Here is a 17,506-nt window from a genome sequence, read left to right as displayed (position 1 = left end):
AAAAAAAAAAAAAAAAAAAGACAGCAAAACAGATTCAAGTCTGTTGGCATCTGTGAGATGTGACTCACCTGCTTGGGGTCCCTCTCTGTGGTTACTCTGTGTCTCCCGCCTAAGCAGGGAGGACACTTTGCGTACATCCTCCTGAGACATCTGTGCTCACAGGGAAGGGCCCTTTCAGCCTTGTCGTCTGTTATCTGGCTTTAATCCTTGGAGAGATACTGATCTCCTTGGGTTCTCTGTGTTTTAGGCAATAAGCTACATGCACACAGTTTAAATTTAAGTTACTGCATGGGTGTTTTAAATTCCCAGGGCTACCATAACAAATTAGTATAAACTTGATTGTTTAAAACAAAAGAAATTTATTCTCTTACAGTTCTGCAGGCCAGAAGTCCAAAGTCAGGATGTCATCATAGCCATGCTCCCCATGAAGGCTCTAGGGAAGAATGCTTCCTGGCCTTTGCCAGTTCCTTGTGGCCACAGACATTCCCTGGTTGTGGCTGCTTCACTCCTGTTTGGGCCTCCATCATCATATGGCCACTTTCTCTCTGTCTTCTCTCCTGTGCTCATAAGGACACTAGTTATCTTAGTCTGCTCAGTTGCCATAACAAAATACTATAGACTGGGTGGCTTAAACAACATAAATGTATTTTCCTACAGTCCTAGAGGCTGGAAGTCTGAGGTCAGGGCACCAGCATGGCTAAGTTCTGGTAAGAGCTCTTCTGGCCCGCAGACGGCGCCTTCTTGCTGTGTCCTTGAATAGTCTTTCCTCGGTGCATGCACCTGGAGAGAGATCTCTCTTCTTCTTCTTATAAGACACCAATCTTACTGGATTAGGGTCTCACTCAGCCTTATGACCTCATTTAACTTTAATTACCTCCTAAAAGTCCTACCTCCAAATGTAGTCACATCGTGGGTTATGAATTCAGCATATTAATTTGGAGGGGGACCAATTCAGTTCATAGCACCAGCCACTGGATTTAGGGCCCACCCCAATCCAGCAAGACCTCCTCTTTGCTAATTACGTCTGCAAAGTTGCTATTTCCAAATAATCACATTCTGAGGTTCCAGGTGGACATGCATTTTGGAGGGACACTATTCAGCCACTACAAGGGGTTACAGTGAAAATAAACACCTCTTCCCCCCGGGATTCCCATAAGGAACCACACTACCAGCTTCTTATGAATTCTTCCACAGATATTTTATGCAGATATAAACAGATATGTATGTCAAAATAAAATATGTTTTCTGCATACAATGACATGGACAGTAACATTGTTCTGTACTCTTAACAATTTTTCTTGGATCAACTTCCACCTGTAGCACTGCCTATGCCTTTTCAATAGGTGCATAATATCTTATAGTATGGATGTTACTATCATGTGTTTAATGATGGACATTTAGTTTATTTTGAGCAAATAAATTTAAACAACCCCTTCCCTGTTTGTCCCTTGTCATTCCCCAGATGCTTCCCTGCAGGTGGACACAGTGGTCCCCAATGCCACGGTCTCTGAGAAGGCAGCTTTCCAGCTGGACTGTAGCATCGTGTCCCGCTCCAGCCAGGACTCCCGCTTCGCTGTGGCCTGGTATTCCCTGAGGACTAAAGCTGGGGGGAAAAGGAGCAGCCCTGGCCTGGAAGAACAGGAAGAGGAAAGGGAGGAGGAGGAGGAGGAGGACGACGACGACGACGACGACCCAACAGAGCGGACGGCCCTGCTGAGCGTGGGCCCAGATGCTGTCTTTGGCCCAGAGGGCAGTCCTTGGGAGGGCAGGCTTCGCTTCCAGAGGCTCTCCCCGGTGCTCTACCGGCTCACAGTGCTGCAGGCAAGCCCCCAAGATACAGGCAATTACTCCTGCCATGTGGAGGAGTGGCTGCCCAGCCCTCAGAAGGAATGGTACCGGCTGACGGAGGAGGAGTCAGCCCCCATCGGCATCCGTGTTCTAGATACAAGTGAGTTTCCCAAGTACAGAGGGAGGATGTCACTGTTGGTTCCAACTGTGTCTGGAAGATAAATTTGAGCTTGATTATGGGTTAATAAACAGTTTTCTTAACTGTCATGGGCATTTATTAGTAGGATTTGAGATATGGTGGGATTGGACATATTAGTTCATATAATTGACCCTTGATTACCCATGCAAAAATAGGGATAGAAATTAAAGTGATAACATACCATATAATCTTTATAATAAACTCGATGTTCTACCAGATTCAATTTTAGTAATATTTCATTATACTAGTATATTGTTAGGTGTTACTTTGTTATTTTTTAGAATATTGGAACTAGTCTTTAGCGAATTAGCAAGCGTTTCAGACTCACAAGGGAAAGGGAAAAAAATGAAGGCTGACTACCTCACTGTCATTATTTCTTTTTGTCCAGTTTCTGCGTTATTGTTATTTTGGAGGGTGCCTTGGAGGTTGAGGTGGATCTTGTATGGTTGGGAGGACCAGCCTAGAAGGGCTGTGATATTAGAGGAGAGCTGAGAGGGGATGGATTTGCAGCTGCCCAGAATGCAGTTTCCATGATCCTGAGGGACTTCCACTATGAACAGAGACTGGGGGAAGTATTGCTGGCCTGAATTATTTGTTGTAACAATGCACTCTTGGTTGGCTTGCCATCAAAATGTGGACTACATTAGACTAAAAATGGTGTTATAGTAGAATTAGCCTAGAATACAGAAAGAAAAAAAAGATTGCTGGAATTTTTAACTTCTTTTTAGTCAAAACATTTTTCAACATCATCTTGATTTGAGTTTTTAAAGTTTGGGCCACTATTTTTTTGCCTTGATCACCCCGTGCTCACATTGTGTTAGAACCATATGAAATTGGAGTTTTGCAGGTCAACAATGGTGGACTATCAGCAGTTTCATACACTTTGGAAATTGAATAACAGGCAGATTAAATGTTCTTAATAATACTGATGAGCAACAGCTATTCAGTAAAAGGGAAAGCAGGCTGCATCATACATAGACCACCCTGTGATCCACTGAATAACCCACTGCCTCAAAGCGAAAACAAAGCAGTCTAGGCAACATTTTACCTGTCCATTGTGGATGTCCCTAATTATTAAGCTTCATCGAGCACAGAGGTCACCCAGCAGCCTTATTTTACAGAGAAAACAGGGGCTCCCAGAGGCTAGGCTCCTGCCAAGGTCTAATGACTTATAGAGCAGCCCTCAACCTGTCTTGGGGCGCCTGGTTTATTCTCTTCCATATCCAGCTATAACTAATACTGTGTTCTTTGTGGCCACGGACACACTGTGGACGTTTGTAAGTGGTCCATAATGACATTTAATTGATAACATTAATCAGGTAAGTGTCATTTCTGGTAAAACTGCTCTCAGAAGCTGGCAGGAAGGGATTGTGTCATAATCCCAGAGAAGGAAGTCTGTAGCAGAACTAAGTGCAAAGGGGCATGTAAAATCCAACCATGCAGGAGGCTCCGACTGAACCAGAGCAGCTTCTTCACCATTCTAGATGCAGTTGAGTTCACAATCAATAAATTATGTTTCATTATGTGGCTTTCCAAGCAGCAATAATGGCTCTCAATGGAAAACAGAAGCATTGCTTTGTTGGAACATACAGCCGTAAATTAGGAGAGGTGTTGCGAGAAAAAGAATATAAGGGTCATCTTCCACCATTAATGGTAGCAGGGGAAAGACAAGGTGGTGTGGGAGTGTCACCGAGGAGCTTCCACTGGGTCAGGTGAGGTCTTCAAAAGGAAATGTGAGCAGTCCAGGTTCTCAGCCCTCATTGTCTTGTCTCTCTCATGATTCTTTTCAGGTCCCACCCTCCAGTCCATCATCTGCTCCAACGACGCACTCTTCTACTTCGTCTTCTTCTACCCTTTCCCCATCTTTGGCATTCTTATCATCACCATCCTTCTGGTGCGTTTCAAGAGCCGGAACTCCAGCAAGAACTCTGATGGGAAGAATGGGGTGCCTCTGCTGTGGATCAAAGAGCCACACCTCAACTACTCCCCTACTTGCCTGGAGCCCCCTGTTCTCAGTATCCATCCAGGGGCCATAGACTAAGCGGGTGATGCCCCAGCGGATGTTGGCCACGGAGGAGCTGAGGCTCTCCCTTTCTCTGTGATTGGACAGTTGACAGCACCCAAACTCTGGGGTGCATGTGTGTGGAAAGTTGTCAGACTTGAAAAGTGTTCCAAGTTCCCAGTCAGTCACAGAGACAGACTGCCTCTCGGTGGCAGTCTTGGTTGGTTAGCTATTTGCGCGCAAATGTTGTGATCCTGCCATTATAGATTTCTTGTTTCTGTTTTTAGTAATGTAGTGAGTAGCTCCAGGTGCCACATCTACTCACAGATTTATCTAGTATTCTCAGATAGATGTTACAGGGCTTCTTATTCTTTGTAATGTACTCTTTTTAAATCCCTTTAGTTTACCCTTTTTGGATTCCTTAATGTGGACGAATTTCTCTTACGTACAACTGACAGCAAAAGGAAGGGCGAACTTTCTAGTGACAAGGAATCTCTTCCAAGACTTTGTTTTTGCACATTTGAAAATGCCACCCATGGATCAAAATATACCCAAACGTTTTTTACTTTCTTAACAAGACTTAAGAATTGTGTGTAGTGTGGGCAAAATTTGTATGTTGTCTTTTCCCTCAGCTGGAGTTATTGGAACCACTTTGTAGTCAAGACGAAAGCACTGAATTTTGCTTCAAAGAACTGTGTATGTACAAGAGAAATCCTGCATAACCCCATTAGGAGTAGATGGTGCCCGGCCTATCTGTCAGGGAGGCAAAAAAGGCTTCATCCCATCCTTGCCAAAAAATAAGAAAACTGTCTTGGAGAATGGGTCAGAAGCCCCAAACGGCACACACTTTCCAAATTAAAGTGGGCAGGGGCTGCTTTTAGCAGCTGCTGACCTGCAGATTTGTCAAAGCCAGTGACTAGAGAAGGAAGGGAGAAAGGCTGGCTGTTGGCTTGCTCTGAGCTGCAAGGATGGTCTCTAACTGATTAACTGTGAGCAGGTGGGCCTGTGTCTTCAGGTGCTTTGCCAAACTCTTAAAAGAAAGTGTCCAGTGAACTTGGAAGTGGGCCCCTGAGCTGAGCACAGGGCCAAAGCAGCCATGGCAGACACCTGACGGAGGGCACGGGGCTGGCTGACACTAAGTTTGGTGGGACAGTGAGGGGTGGGAGGGGGGTTTCCAGGGCCTGGTGTTGGAGAGTGCAGAGAAATATCTACCTCCCTGGAGGTGTGAAGACTAGGTTTTTCTTCTTCCTTCCAATTAGATTTTCCTTAATTATAGTGATGTCTTCCTTATTCATTTTTCTCTCCCTGCCTCTCACTGCCATAAGAATATCAGCCTGGGGGCAGTCCAGACGCAGCCCTTTGTCATCCTTTCTGTTTGCCTAGTCTCAGCAGACTGTGATCACAAGGCATTGTCTGTGGGATTTTTCCTTTCCCTTTCTTGATCTCTCTTGTGGTTCTAGGTTGTTTGGTTGTTCATTGTTATGGTGGCTTTTTATTTTAACGCCCCTTGAGCCCCATGATGGCTGGTGTCACCCTGTTCTTTTACACTGTTGGGCCAGGTGCTGCTTGTCCTTCTTAGGGCATCATCAATTGCAAATATTTCCTTTTGCTCCCTTTATGAAGATGTTCTTATACCCTTGCTTTCCCATATTTTTCTGGCCAAGCATGCCATCTCCTTTACTCTGGGAACTTACATCCTGAATCCCAAGAGGGGGTCACAGTTTGGAAAAAGTCATCAGGGATTCTGGAACTAAGTCTGATAAAAGATTCCAGTGAAGCCCTGTTCTGAGAACGAGCAGACTGCAGGGGAGGCCATGGGATTCCCCAGGCCAGTGTCTGTGCTGATCCTTCAAGGGTCTGCAGGTATGCAGGTGGCCTGGGCTGCTCGGCAGATACTTTGCTGATTCCCAGCTGAGGGGAGCATGGTGGCGATTGCTCAGCCATTTTCTGACAGACACACAGACCTGCCTTTTCTCCCCCAAGTATACCGTACCCTCCTGTGAGACAGTGTGTGCAGGCACCACCACCTTAATCCTGCTGTTGCCTGACATGCTGATTCTCATTTATTATGCTGCATCAACACATTAGAGGTACAGGAGCGGCTCAGTCATGAAAAAAGAAGGTCTTTTGCCCCATTTCTTTATTTCAGAGATGTGGGCTTTCAGTGGGAATTTGCTGACTCCTACTTTATAGGCTGAGTCAATGAGGGAAGATGACTGGCGTTTCCTCTGTCTAAATGGGAGGTTGCCAGAGCGCTGGCTGGGACTAGGATGTGTAACTAAGATTTCAGTTTGAAATCTTAGATTTCAGTTCACGGCGATAAAGAAGTAGGTGCTGCACACAAATATGTAAAGCAATTGTAGGAAATTTGAAAGGAAAAAAAGAAACCGAAGCCAGTATTTTAATAATTGCTTTTTCTGTGTATTTTGTATTGGGCTGGGGGATAGCATCAAAGGTTGAACTTTTTGAGCTTTCTATGAAAAACCCCAGGACCTTCTTTCTTTGGCCATTTCTATGGAAATGCGATGTCAGATGGATGGTAATGGTGCCCTCCAGTGGCTGTGAGACCTCATTGCGCATTGTCTACTGGAGCTTTAGTCTTCTGAGACGGAGGAAAACTGCTGAATACTCTGGATTCATCTATGTCTACAATGTTGCATTTATGAAAAACTACACTGTGCTAGGCGCATTCTAGGACATGAATATGACCACACCCTCTTTCACCGGGTGTTTCTGTAGCAAGTTTTCATATTCTTTTCAAACAATGGTTTCTCTGCGTTAATTATTGAGGAAAAAAAAAGATGGGGTAAGAAAACTACCCATGCATGATGTAGAGAGCTGTTGATTTGTTTCTGTTTTTTTAAAGGAAAACTATTTGTAAGATGTTGCACTAAAACATTTTATATACACTTCAGAGACCTGTAGTAAATTATGTTGAAAATACGGCTGTTTACATTTACTGCAGTCTTCTATCCTTCTTTCCCCTTACTAACCAGCCCCCTTCCTCTGTGGAACTGTGCTGTGGGAGCCTACAGTTCTGCCCTTGGCATTGGCCTGCTAGGCTCAAGGTCTGTGAATTGCAGTCTTTATTATTACACCCCATAACCTTCAAATGATAAAAACACCTCTTCCTCAAGACACTTCACTGCCATCTGCTGCAACATATAGTAAATAGACACCTCCACCCCGATGATCAAGGCTATGCTACCTCTAGAGCTGTGCAACACACAACACACCTAGCCCCTGAAAGCCAGGTTCAGAATGTAGATCTTATAACCTGTAGCGTTTTTGTTGGGGGGTGGGGTGGGGGTAGAAGCCGGATGAGAAGGAGAGCAGGAACACAGGATGGCCTTCTCTAGGGCCTCTGCGGCAAGTCCACACCATCCTTTTCCAACTATGAAGTGCTGCCCTGGCCATGAAATGCAGCGGGGATTTCCCAGAATGGTGATAAAAGCAGGAGTTGTGCATTCTAGTTAAGTGAGACTGCACAGCGCACTGGTCTCTGTTTCCTCTTCCAGTGTTGGGAGGGGTTTACATCTGCAAATTGAGAAGAATGTTAGAATGATTAAAACCATAGCAGTGATACGTGATTAGTCAGAACCCATCTATAATTCTTTAAAATTCATAGAATATGCAAAAAGGAACTAGATAGTAAGAAGCAGAGGGAGACACTTCTTTTTTTCTTCTTTTTCTAAATCCAAGACTTTCAAAAGCTTTCGTGTGTGCTTTCCTCTGCTCCCAGAACCATTGGCTGCATCCTTATCAACTCCTTGCAGCTGCTGGCTTGGCCAGGAGTTGAAAATGTGACTGCCTCTCCCTTGGGTACCCATAATGGTTCCATGTTAAGTCTTATGTATAATTTTTCCTAATTTTTTTCTAATGTTCTTTTTCTGCCAGGGTATGTTTTAAAAAGGGAAATAGAGTATTATGGAATAAGATTACCCTTCTATGTCCTTCGTGCAAATCCAACCAGTATTTATATAAATGAATGTATGTTCCCTCATGAGGCATGCAATGAAAATGACAATTTGCATTTATGCAGGATTGAGCAGTGTTTTGCTCACTACATTCTGGGATTCCTAAGCTTTGTGGGAGTAGTTCCAAAGGTTTGGCAGAAACGAGAGTCAAGACACCAGAGAGTGGCATGCTAGGAAGAACAGCCCCGGCCTCTTCAGCTGCCCTCTTTTCTTACTTTCTCATCCATGATTATCTACAGTGACAAGAAGATAAAACTGGACCTTGCAATACTAGTCACAGCATGAAAAATACATCCACCCCTCCTTTTGATAGCAGGTTCTCAGTATGTAAAGGGAATCTTTTTGGCTGCCTGCTTAACGCATTGCAGGTCCAGCATTCCTGAGCTGCTTTTGATTCATAAAATTAACCAGGCATTTGAGGGCTTCTAAAAGTGCTTGATGGACAGCATTTCTCTCAATGAAAGAGCAGGCACTGCTCCTTGGTCAAAGGAGAGTCCAACCAAGGAAGCCTAATGAGTTATTCCTCACCCAATACCTGGAGACCATGACCTGGGGGTGAGGGGCTTCCCCAGCCCCATGTGACTGGGCTGTTCTTTCCTCAGCCCTGCTCTTAAGGGGCTTAACAGCTCTTGCTGGCAGTCCAAATGGCTGCATAGCTGTCAGTCCAAAAGTCCCATTATCATATCCCGTTCCTGTATGAAGGGATAAGAGTAGAGGCATTGGACATGGCCTCAGCTGGACTCCAAGTTCTGCCCTTTACTGTGTGCCCTGAGTAATTTACCTTCCCCAGGCATCAGTTTCCTCATTTGCAAAAACAACAGCAGCAGTAAGACTAAGTTAATCCAAGCAATGCACTTCACACAGGGCCTGCTCAATAGATGTTTGCTGTCATATCACTTCCCAGCTCAAAAACTTTCTGTGGCTCCCCAGTGTCTGAAGGTCTAACCCCATCCTGCCTTTCTAAGTTGGCCTGAGTTCCTACCAGCCCAGGGCAGAGAACACTTGATTTCCTCATATTTTATGTTACACACTGCCCCTGCCTTGTGTTCCCAGTATCTACAGATGGTAGGGAATATCTCGAGATAGCAGGTTTGTGGTAGAGGGCATTGGTCCCAGAAGTTTCACTGATAGAGATACCTTTTAAGATTTTATGGCTAACTTAAGAAATAATTCATGTCTCTTTGCAATATGGTTCAAGTGTCTTGAGTGACTTCGAGTCCCCACCTGGGGATAATGGAGGTGAAGCAGCAAGAAAGCACATTCCCACTCAGTTTCACAACCTGCACCATGTATGTGTTGGTGGTTATTTGGGCAGCAGGGAGTCCTGTTCATGGAAATGGATTCCTGCTCACATAATAACTAAGAGTTCTGTGAACTCCCTCAGCTGGGCAGGGGCAACTCTGGTGCTTCTGTCTGCAAGAAAGGGGACAGACAGGGAGGCTGATGTGAGGAGCTGGTTCTGGGAATAGGGTCATTTGTTCTGGGATATAGGGATGTGAGGGGAGGGCCAGCTCAATCCAGACTGATGAAGAGCGGGGAGAGTGATGAGTGCCTGCCTCAGCTTGGGCTGGATGGATGTGGGGAGGCTGGGCAGTGAGGGAGATGTGGATCTGACATCTCAGCCTGAGGGAAAGTCCCGGTTGAGATGGGGGAAGACAGAAAAAGAGGAATCTGAGAAGGGAGAAACCAAAGGCTGGAAATCCCAGCTCCGGGGATAAGGGAGTATGGGGACGGGGGAGGCCTGCCTCAGGTAACCCTACGCCTAACAGTTGTCTAAAATGCTCCCTTTCCTTGTCATGTTTGAGGAAAAGTGGTTCAAAGAGGCCGTCTGATGCGGGATCACACAGCGCTGAAGGGATGAGGGGCCCCGGGTGCTCCCGCCCGTCCTGCTGCCTCCTCCGGTGGCTCTCTGGGAGCCACAGCCCCGTCTAGCCACGGAGGGGCCTACAGCACGCCCCAAACGCTAAGGGGAAGCGCGGGAGGTGCGGTAGGAAGGCAGAGAAACCTGGTTTTTAAAACCAAGCCATTTTCAAGGAAAGAATTTCTTACTTTAAAACCTTGGTTTTTAAAACCAAGCCATTTTCAAGGAAAGAATTTCTTACTTAAAAATAGCGTATGGAATGGCGGCGGAATGACGGGAGGGACCGAGCTGGGGGACTGGACGGCGCCCCGGGGACACAGGAAGGAGGCGCGCAGAGCCGAGGCCAGAGGCGCGCCCGGGGAGTGGAAGCGCGAAGACAAACGCGGCGCCGCGGAGGGTGGGGGAGGAAGGGCCGGGGCGGGCCGCCGGCTGCCAGCCCAGGGCGGGGCGGAGCCCTACTTCTGGCCGACCGCGTAGGCGGTGCTTGAACTTAGGGCTGCTTGTGGCTGGGCACTCGCGCAGAGGCCGGCCCGACGAGCCATGGTTGCTGGGAGCGACGCGGGGCGGGCCCTGGGGGTCCTCAGCGTGGTCTGCCTGCTGCACTGCTTTGGTGAGTGAAGCCTGCCCCAGGGGCCCCGCGCCGGCCGGCGGGTACTGGGCAGCACCCAGGCTGGGTGGACGCGCCGGGCTCGAGGCGGTTGCCGATCAGAGACGGGTGGGGACGGGTCGCTGTGGGCCGGGAACAACTCAGCCGTGGGAGCCTTTTCAGGAAGAGAAAGTTGTTATTTCATCGCCAGTGTCCCTCATGGAGTCAGCAAGGAACTGTGTGGCCTTAGGGAAGGACGGGCTCCGGCCCGCTAGCCTCTCCTGCGGGGCCTGCGCCCCCCCGCCGGCCCCCTCCCGAGCTCCAGTGACCAAGTTCCTTCCTGGGCTTCCCCAGTAACGTCGCTGAGCGCTTCAGCGGACTGCAAAATTTTTCCCAGCCGTGAACGCGCCCGGGACGGGGAGCGGGCGCGGATGCCACCTGCTCGAGGGCGACGCCTGCTGCCCTCCCCGCGCGGTGCCGTCCCCGCCCGCGCGGCGTCCGCCGTATCAGCAGAGAGGACTTTTCAGAATCGCCCCACAGCGAGGAGCGGGTAGGCAACTAGGAAGCCCAGTCGGCAGCGGCCTCACGTTGGGATTCCTAAGTGGTGCGACTCCTGCTCCTTTTTCCTCCCCTCAAATCCTAAAAACTAGTATCAGAACTGGTTCCATCCTCTCCGTGTGTTGTCAGCCAAGTCGTCACAACAACCTCAGGAAATAGGTCCCCTTCTTCCCATTTTGCCTCCCCATCCTCCTTCACCCTCCACACATTGGCCCCAGTCAGGCCATAGCAAAACCCCGGGAGTACAGCAGTAACCTCCCAGCGAGTTCAACTGTACTTGAGGGGTTCTCATGGCTGGCTCCTGCACCCCACTGCCAGCCCTCCAGCCCGTCCGTCCGTTTGCTCAGCGTCCGCTGCCTGCCCGGGAGGTGCGCGTGTGCATCTATGGAAGACAGCCAAGGGGGAGGGGTTGAGATAGACTCAAAAGTACCCGCACGATCAGATAAGTCAGTGTTGTAAGAGGCCTGGGCTGGGCGTGGTGGCTTACACCTGTCATCCTAGCACTTTGGGAGGCTGAGGCAGGTGGATCACTTGAGGCCAGGAATCGGAGACCAGCAGGGCCAACACGGTGAAAGATCGGCTCTACAAAAAATACAAAAATTAGCTGAGCGTGGTGGCGCATACCTATAGTCCCAGCTACTCGGAAGGCTGAGGTGGGAGAATCACCTGAGTCCCGGAGGCAGAGGATGCAGTGAGCTGTGATTGTGCCACTGAACTCCAGCCTGGGTGACAGAATATGACCTGTCTCAAAAAAAAAAAAAAAAAAAAAAGGTGAGCTGTGAGGGTACAGAGGGAAGAAGAAGGCAGTCTCTTTTGTGAAATCAAGTGTCTTTTGTGAAGCAGTCTTCATGGGAGGGAGGATATTTGAGCCCAGCCTTCAAGGACTGGTGATGTGTGGACATGTGATAATGTGGGAAAAGATTGCTGAGTGTCCCCTTAGGGAGTCTGGATTCTCTGAGCTGAGAGAGCTTCTCCTGGGCCTTACAGGATCAGGACCATGCGCCTGGGAAGAAGAATCTGTTAGCAACAAAGAGGAAGGCTGCAGTCAGGAGGAATTGGAGGCAGGGAGGCCAGAAGGCCAGGGTGGACTACCATCACAGGGCCCAAATAGCTCTGGGGAGTTCATGTGCGGGTGGCTGGGGAAAAGAAGAGATACAAACAGGGATTAATTGAATGGATGGGGTAACTCTCCTCCAGGCAAGCTGGTCCCTCATTCCCTGGCACCTTGGGTCACTGCTGCCTGTACCTGTGTTCTCCCTTCCACTGCAAACCCAGTTTGCCCAAGCTCCACCTCCAACAGATTATTTGAACTGTCCCTTCCTGGTGATCTCTCTCACCTAATTCATGTATTCATTCAGAAGTCATTTGATTCAGCAAACATGTATTTATAAACTGCTCTGCATAGGCCTTAAACTAAAGACAAGACTGAATGGGTATATCCCCTTTTGGGGACCCAAGCCTGCCTCATTAGGGAAGCTGCAAATGCAGTGATTAACAGCATCAGCTCTGGGGTCAGATGCCTAGCTTTGGATCCTGGCCCCACTCCTCACCTGAGTCATGAACTTGTGTGAGTTCCCTAACTTCTCTTCACTTCAGTACCTTCACTTTTGAAGAGAGTACCACTCACATGAGGGAAAGGAGAATAATAAACCCACTTCATAGAATTACTGGGAACATCAGTCATGCAATAAATATTTACTGAGTGTCAATTATATGTTAAGCACTGCACAATGGACGGGGGATACAGCAAGCTATGCACAGTTCCCTGCCTTTGTGAAGCTCACCTTATAGTGAGGGAGAGAGACAGTAAGTAAATGAGTAAAAACATGGATGCTGGATGGTGATAAAGTAAACATTTACTAGTACAGAGATGAGTAAAGCAAAGAAAGGGGTGATGGAAGTCGTTAATACTTCAGTTTAGGGTTTTTTTTGAAATTTTAGAACAATTAAAATCTTTAGGACAGTTGCAAAATTAGTACAGTGAACATTTGCGTACTTTCTCCTTGAATCACCAGTTAACTGTCACATTAGTTTTCTTTGTTATTTTTGCCATCTGTTATTTTTGCCAAACCATTTGAGAGTTTCAGATCTCATGACACCTCACCTGTAATTCTTTATCATATGTCTCATAAGAACAAGAGCATTCTCCAACAAGTCACAGAATCATCATAATCTGGAAATGTGGCATTGATACAATACTGTTTCCTGGTAGAGAACCCAGAAGCCAGTCCTGCACCACATACTTCATTTGATAATCATGCCTTTTTAACCCCCTTTAACCTAAAACTGTTGCTTTTTTTTTTTTTTTTTTTTGGTACTTTAAGACATCATCATTTTTGAAGTGTCTGGGCTAGTTGCTTTACCGAATGTCCCTTTGGATGTGGATTGCCTGCTTGTTTCCTCATGATCAGATTCTGGTTGTAACTCTTTGTAGCAGGAATACTTCATAGCTATGTTGGGTCCTTCTCAGTGTGTCACATCAGGAAGATGTGGTCTGTTTGTCACATTATTGGAGATGTTAACTTTGACATTTGGTTAAAGTGAAGTTTACCAGATTTCTCCATTGTAGAGGCACCATTTTACCTTTGTAAGTAATAAATGATGTGTTAAGTGATGTTTTGAGGTTGAGTGAATATCCTGTTCTCCAGCCATTGTTCATTCAGTGGTTTTAGTATCCTATGGTGATTCTTCCCAGAATCCATTATCACTAAAATATTTTATTTTATTTTTTGAGACAGGGTCTCACTGTGTCACCCAGGCTGGAGTACAGGGGTGCTATCACAGCTAACTCCAGCCTCGACCTCTGAGGCTCAAGCAATTCTGCCACCTCAGCCTTCTGAGTAGCCAGGACTACAGGTGCATGCCACCATGCTTGGCTAATTTTTTTTTAGTTTTTGTAGAAACAGGGTTTCCCTATGTTGCCCAGACTGGTCTTAAACTCCTGGGCTCAAGTGATCCTCCCTCCTTGGCCTACCGAAGTGTTGGGATTACAGGCATGAACCACCACATCCAGCCACTAAAATATTTTCAAATGGTAATTTTCTTCCCCCACCCTTGTCCCTTTCTTCTCCCTCCCTCCCTTCCTTCCATCCTTCCTCTCTCCCCTCCCCTCCCTCCCTCCCCTCCCCTCCCTTTCCCTCCCCTCCCCCTCCCTTCCTGTCCCTTCCCTTCCCTTCCCTTCCCTTCCCTTCTTTCCTTCTTTGTTTCATTGCCTTTTCTCTTTTCTTTTGAGACACAGTCTCACTCTGTTGCCCAGGCTAGAGTATAGTGACACAATTATGGCTCACTGCAGCCTTGATCTCCCAGACTCAAGCGATCCTCCCACCTCAGTTTCCAAATAGCTGGGACTACAGGGACATGCCTTCACGTCCACCTAATTTTTTTGTATTTTTTATAGAGACGGGGTTTTGCCATGTTGCCCAGGCTGGTCTTGAACTCCTGGGCTCAAGCAATCCTCCCAAGTCAGTTTCCCAAAGTGTCGGGATTATAGGCATGAGCCACCCAGCAATTTTCTCTTCTGTTTCTCTCTATATATATATTTATTAGTTTACATTGTTCAGTAATGGATAGCTTTTGCACACACATCCTCCCTTTTTTTCTTTTATTTTAGAAGGTTATGTGGACTCATGGATTCTTTTTTAAATATGGCATTCCTGTCATCCATTTTGATGCTCGGCAACCCCACATTTGACAAGTGGGAACACCTTCAAGCTTCAGAGTCCTTTTGCTCTGTTTGTTCCTGTTTGATTTTAAACACTTCCTTACTTTCTGGCACAGAAAGATGTTCTGGACTCATCTTGTAGTGTTCCTGCCTCAGCCTTCGAATCATTAGGTTCCCTGGTTTCTTTTAGTGAGAGATGGTATTTAGAAATCAAGTTCTGGGTGCAAAGTGTGCCCACAGGTACCAGAGTCATTGCTTCTCAGCCTTGTCAGTTTTCAAAGTTAAGAAATAGAGTTTTTACAAAGTCAGGAGTTCACCCTGATACTTCTAACACTAATAATCTTGCTGCTTAGTTCTTCTGCCTCTTCTGCTCTTCCATATTTGCATCTCCTTACTCCCACAGTGAGAACTCTGTTCTTAGTAGCATCAGTATATTTTCCTAATCTACATTAAACCCCAAATCATTTTACAGTTGCTATACCAATCTACTACCAACTACAAACTTACTAAATACAGTTAAAGATTTCTTTACAGTTCCTTTTATTTTTCATTACAGTCTCCAACTTAGCAATGGTTCGACTTAAGATTTTTCAACTCTACAATGAGTTTTTCAAGATATAACTCCATAATAAGAAATATCTGTATATCCCAGTGAATATGCAATACTATATTCAAAAGTTACTTGGATTCTGGCCGGGTGCAGTGACTCATGACTGTAATCCCAGCACTTTGGGAGGCCAAGGCGGGCGGATCACAAGGTCAGGAGATTGAGACCATCCTGGCTAACGCAGTGAAACCCTGTCTCTACTAAAACAAAAAATTAGCTGGGCATGGTGGCACACGCCTGTAATTCCAGCTACCTAGGAGGCTGAGGCAGGAGAATGGCCTGAACCAGGAGGCAGAGACTGCAGTGAGCCAAGATTACAACACTGCACTCCAGCCTGGGTGACGGAGTGAGACTCTGTCTCAAAAAAAAAAAACAAAAAAACAAAACAAAACAAAAAAAAGTTATTTGGATTCTTTTTTTTTTTTCTAACTACCCTTCTTAAACAAGGTAACACTCTATGTATTTTTTTGTATCTCATTTTTGTCACTTAACCATACATCTGGAAAATCATTCCCTATCACTTCATAGAGATCCACCTCATTCTTTTTCACAGCTGTACAGTCCCTCATAGGGTGGCTATATGGTAGTTCATTCAGCTACCCTCTGCTGGTTAGTATTACATAGTGTGGTCAGGGAGGGTCTCTTTAATAGGGTGACAATTGATCATACACTTAAGGAAGTGAGAGATAGGCCACAAGGCTATCTGGGGGAGTGATATTCCAGGTCTACTACTCAGGACCCTGAGATAGGCTTCAAGCGTTTAAGAAACTTCAAGGATACCATTGTGGTGGAGAGTGGTAGAAAATGAAGTTATAAAAGTAGTCAGGGTTGGATCCTGTAGATAAAGTTTTTAGGGCCTTTTAAATATTTTGGCCTTTTTGCTTTCAGTGACTGGAAAGTTTTGAAGGATTTTGAACAGGAGTGAAATTATGATGACTTGGATGTTTAAAAGAATTATTCTGGCTGCTGGATGAATAGTCTGTAGAGGAGAGAAAAGGAAGAGCAGGGAGGTTGGTTAGGCTGCAGGGGCAATGCAGGAAAGGAATCACTGGGGGTGGGAGATATCTGGATGTGTTTTGAAGGTGGAGCTGGCAGGATTTGGTGTGGGCTTGCATTAGTGGAATGACATGTGGATAGGGCCTGGATAGTGCTGGGCAAGTAGCAAGAACTCAAAAGTATGAACTTGGCTGAGAGTGGTGGTGCATGCCTGTAATCCTAGCACTGAGAGGCTGAGGTGGGCAGATCTTTTGAGCCCAGGAGTTCGAGACCATCCTAAGCAACATGCTGAAACCCCATGATATGGTTTGGCTCTGTGTTCCCACCCAAATCTTACGTTGAATTGTAATAATCCCCATATGTCAAGGGCAGGGCTAGGTGGAGATAATTGAATCATAAGGGCAGTTTCCCCCATACTGTTCTCAGATAGTGAATAAGTCTCACAATATTTGATGATTTTATAAATGGGGATTCCCCTGCACAAGCTCTCTCTTGCCTACTGCCATGTAAGATGTGCCTTACTTCTCCTTTGCATTCTGCCATGATTGTGGGGCCTCCCTGGCCAGGTGGAACTGTGAGTTCATTGAACTTCTTTCCTTTATAAATTACCCAGTCTTGGGTATGTCTTTATTAGCAGCATGAGAATGGACTAATATAGTAAATTGGTACTGGGTAGTGGGGCACTGCTGCAAAGATACCTGAAAATGTGGAAGCAACTTTGGAACTGGGTAACAGGCAGGGATTGGAATAGTTTGGAAGACTCAGAAGAAGACAGGAAGATGTGGGAAAGTTTGGAACTTCCTAGAGACTTGTTGAATGGCTTTGACCAAATGCTGCTCATCTCAGATGGAGATGAGGAACAATTGTTGGGAACTGGAATAAAGGTGACTCTTAATATGTTTTAGCAAAGAGACTGGCAGCATTTTGCCTGTGCCCTAAAGATACGTGGAACTTTGAACTTGAGAGAAATTATTTAGGGCATCTGGTGGAAGAAATTTCTAAGCAGCAAAGCATTCAAGAGGTGGCTTGGTTGCTGTTAAAAGCATTCAGTTTTATATGTTCACAAAGATGTGGTTTGGAATTGGAACTTATGTTTAAAAGGATAGCAGGGCATAAAAGTTCAAAAAATTTGCAGCCCAATGATGCAATAGAAAAGAAAAACCCCTTTTCTGAGGAAAAATTCAAGCCAGCTGCAGAAATTTGCATTAAGTAATGAGGAGCCAAATGTTAATCACGAAGACAATGGGGAAAATGTCTCCAGGGCATATCAG

General features: G+C 46.2%; 2 protein-coding genes and 1 long non-coding RNA gene across 14 annotated transcripts in view, besides 4 other annotated features; 2 read left to right on the top strand and 1 right to left on the bottom strand.

Moving 5' to 3' along the window:
- The window catches only part of IGSF3 (immunoglobulin superfamily member 3), a 93,358-nt gene extending 86,416 nt beyond the window's left edge, over positions 1-6,942 (top strand). For 8 of the 9 annotated variants that reach the window (XM_047419052.1, NM_001542.4, XM_047419070.1 and 5 more), the window contains 2 exons: positions 1,463-1,948; positions 3,778-6,942. In XM_047419052.1, the coding sequence (XP_047275008.1) occupies positions 1,463-1,948; positions 3,778-4,028 (737 nt within the window). In that variant the 3' untranslated portion in view covers positions 4,029-6,942. The remainder of the gene's footprint in view (positions 1-1,462; positions 1,949-3,777) is intronic. The other variant, NM_001007237.3, reaches the window with a different exon arrangement.
- On the bottom strand, positions 6,590-10,365 carry LOC124904385 (uncharacterized). 2 transcript variants are annotated; one of them, XR_007066497.1, is made up of 2 exons: positions 10,287-10,365; positions 6,590-7,526 (listed from the first exon to the last, which is right to left on the bottom strand). It is a non-coding gene; the product is annotated as an uncharacterized LOC124904385 (long non-coding RNA). The 2 variants fall into 2 exon arrangements; XR_007066498.1 differs by lacking the exon at positions 10,287-10,365 and adding an exon at positions 10,069-10,205.
- Positions 7,010-7,299: an enhancer, noted in NCBI's record as "active region_1572". NCBI's record gives its function as "activates an Ori minimal core promoter by ATAC-STARR-seq in GM12878 lymphoblastoid cells {active_cell/tissue: GM12878}" and the evidence as "EXISTENCE:reporter gene assay evidence [ECO:0000049][PMID:35858748]".
- Positions 10,113-10,572: a silencer, noted in NCBI's record as "silent region_1233". NCBI's record gives its function as "represses an Ori minimal core promoter by ATAC-STARR-seq in GM12878 lymphoblastoid cells {active_cell/tissue: GM12878}" and the evidence as "EXISTENCE:reporter gene assay evidence [ECO:0000049][PMID:35858748]".
- CD58 (CD58 molecule) overlaps positions 10,314-17,506 on the top strand; it is a 56,493-nt gene continuing 49,300 nt past the window's right edge. For all 3 annotated transcript variants that reach the window (NR_026665.2, NM_001779.3, NM_001144822.2), the window contains exon 1: positions 10,314-10,437. Coding sequence is in view for 2 of the 3 variants with exons in the window: in NM_001779.3 (NP_001770.1) it covers positions 10,368-10,437 (70 nt within the window). In the remaining variant the exon portion in view is untranslated. The remainder of the gene's footprint in view (positions 10,438-17,506) is intronic.
- Positions 10,643-10,712: a silencer, noted in NCBI's record as "silent region_1232". NCBI's record gives its function as "represses an Ori minimal core promoter by ATAC-STARR-seq in GM12878 lymphoblastoid cells {active_cell/tissue: GM12878}" and the evidence as "EXISTENCE:reporter gene assay evidence [ECO:0000049][PMID:35858748]".
- Positions 11,183-11,242: an enhancer, noted in NCBI's record as "active region_1571". NCBI's record gives its function as "activates an Ori minimal core promoter by ATAC-STARR-seq in GM12878 lymphoblastoid cells {active_cell/tissue: GM12878}" and the evidence as "EXISTENCE:reporter gene assay evidence [ECO:0000049][PMID:35858748]".

The sequence above is a fragment of the Homo sapiens genome, chromosome 1, assembly GCF_000001405.40.
Source record: "Homo sapiens chromosome 1, GRCh38.p14 Primary Assembly".
In the NCBI taxonomy this organism is placed as follows: Eukaryota; Metazoa; Chordata; class Mammalia; order Primates; family Hominidae; genus Homo; species Homo sapiens.
This window is presented reverse-complemented; position numbering and strand designations above follow the sequence as displayed.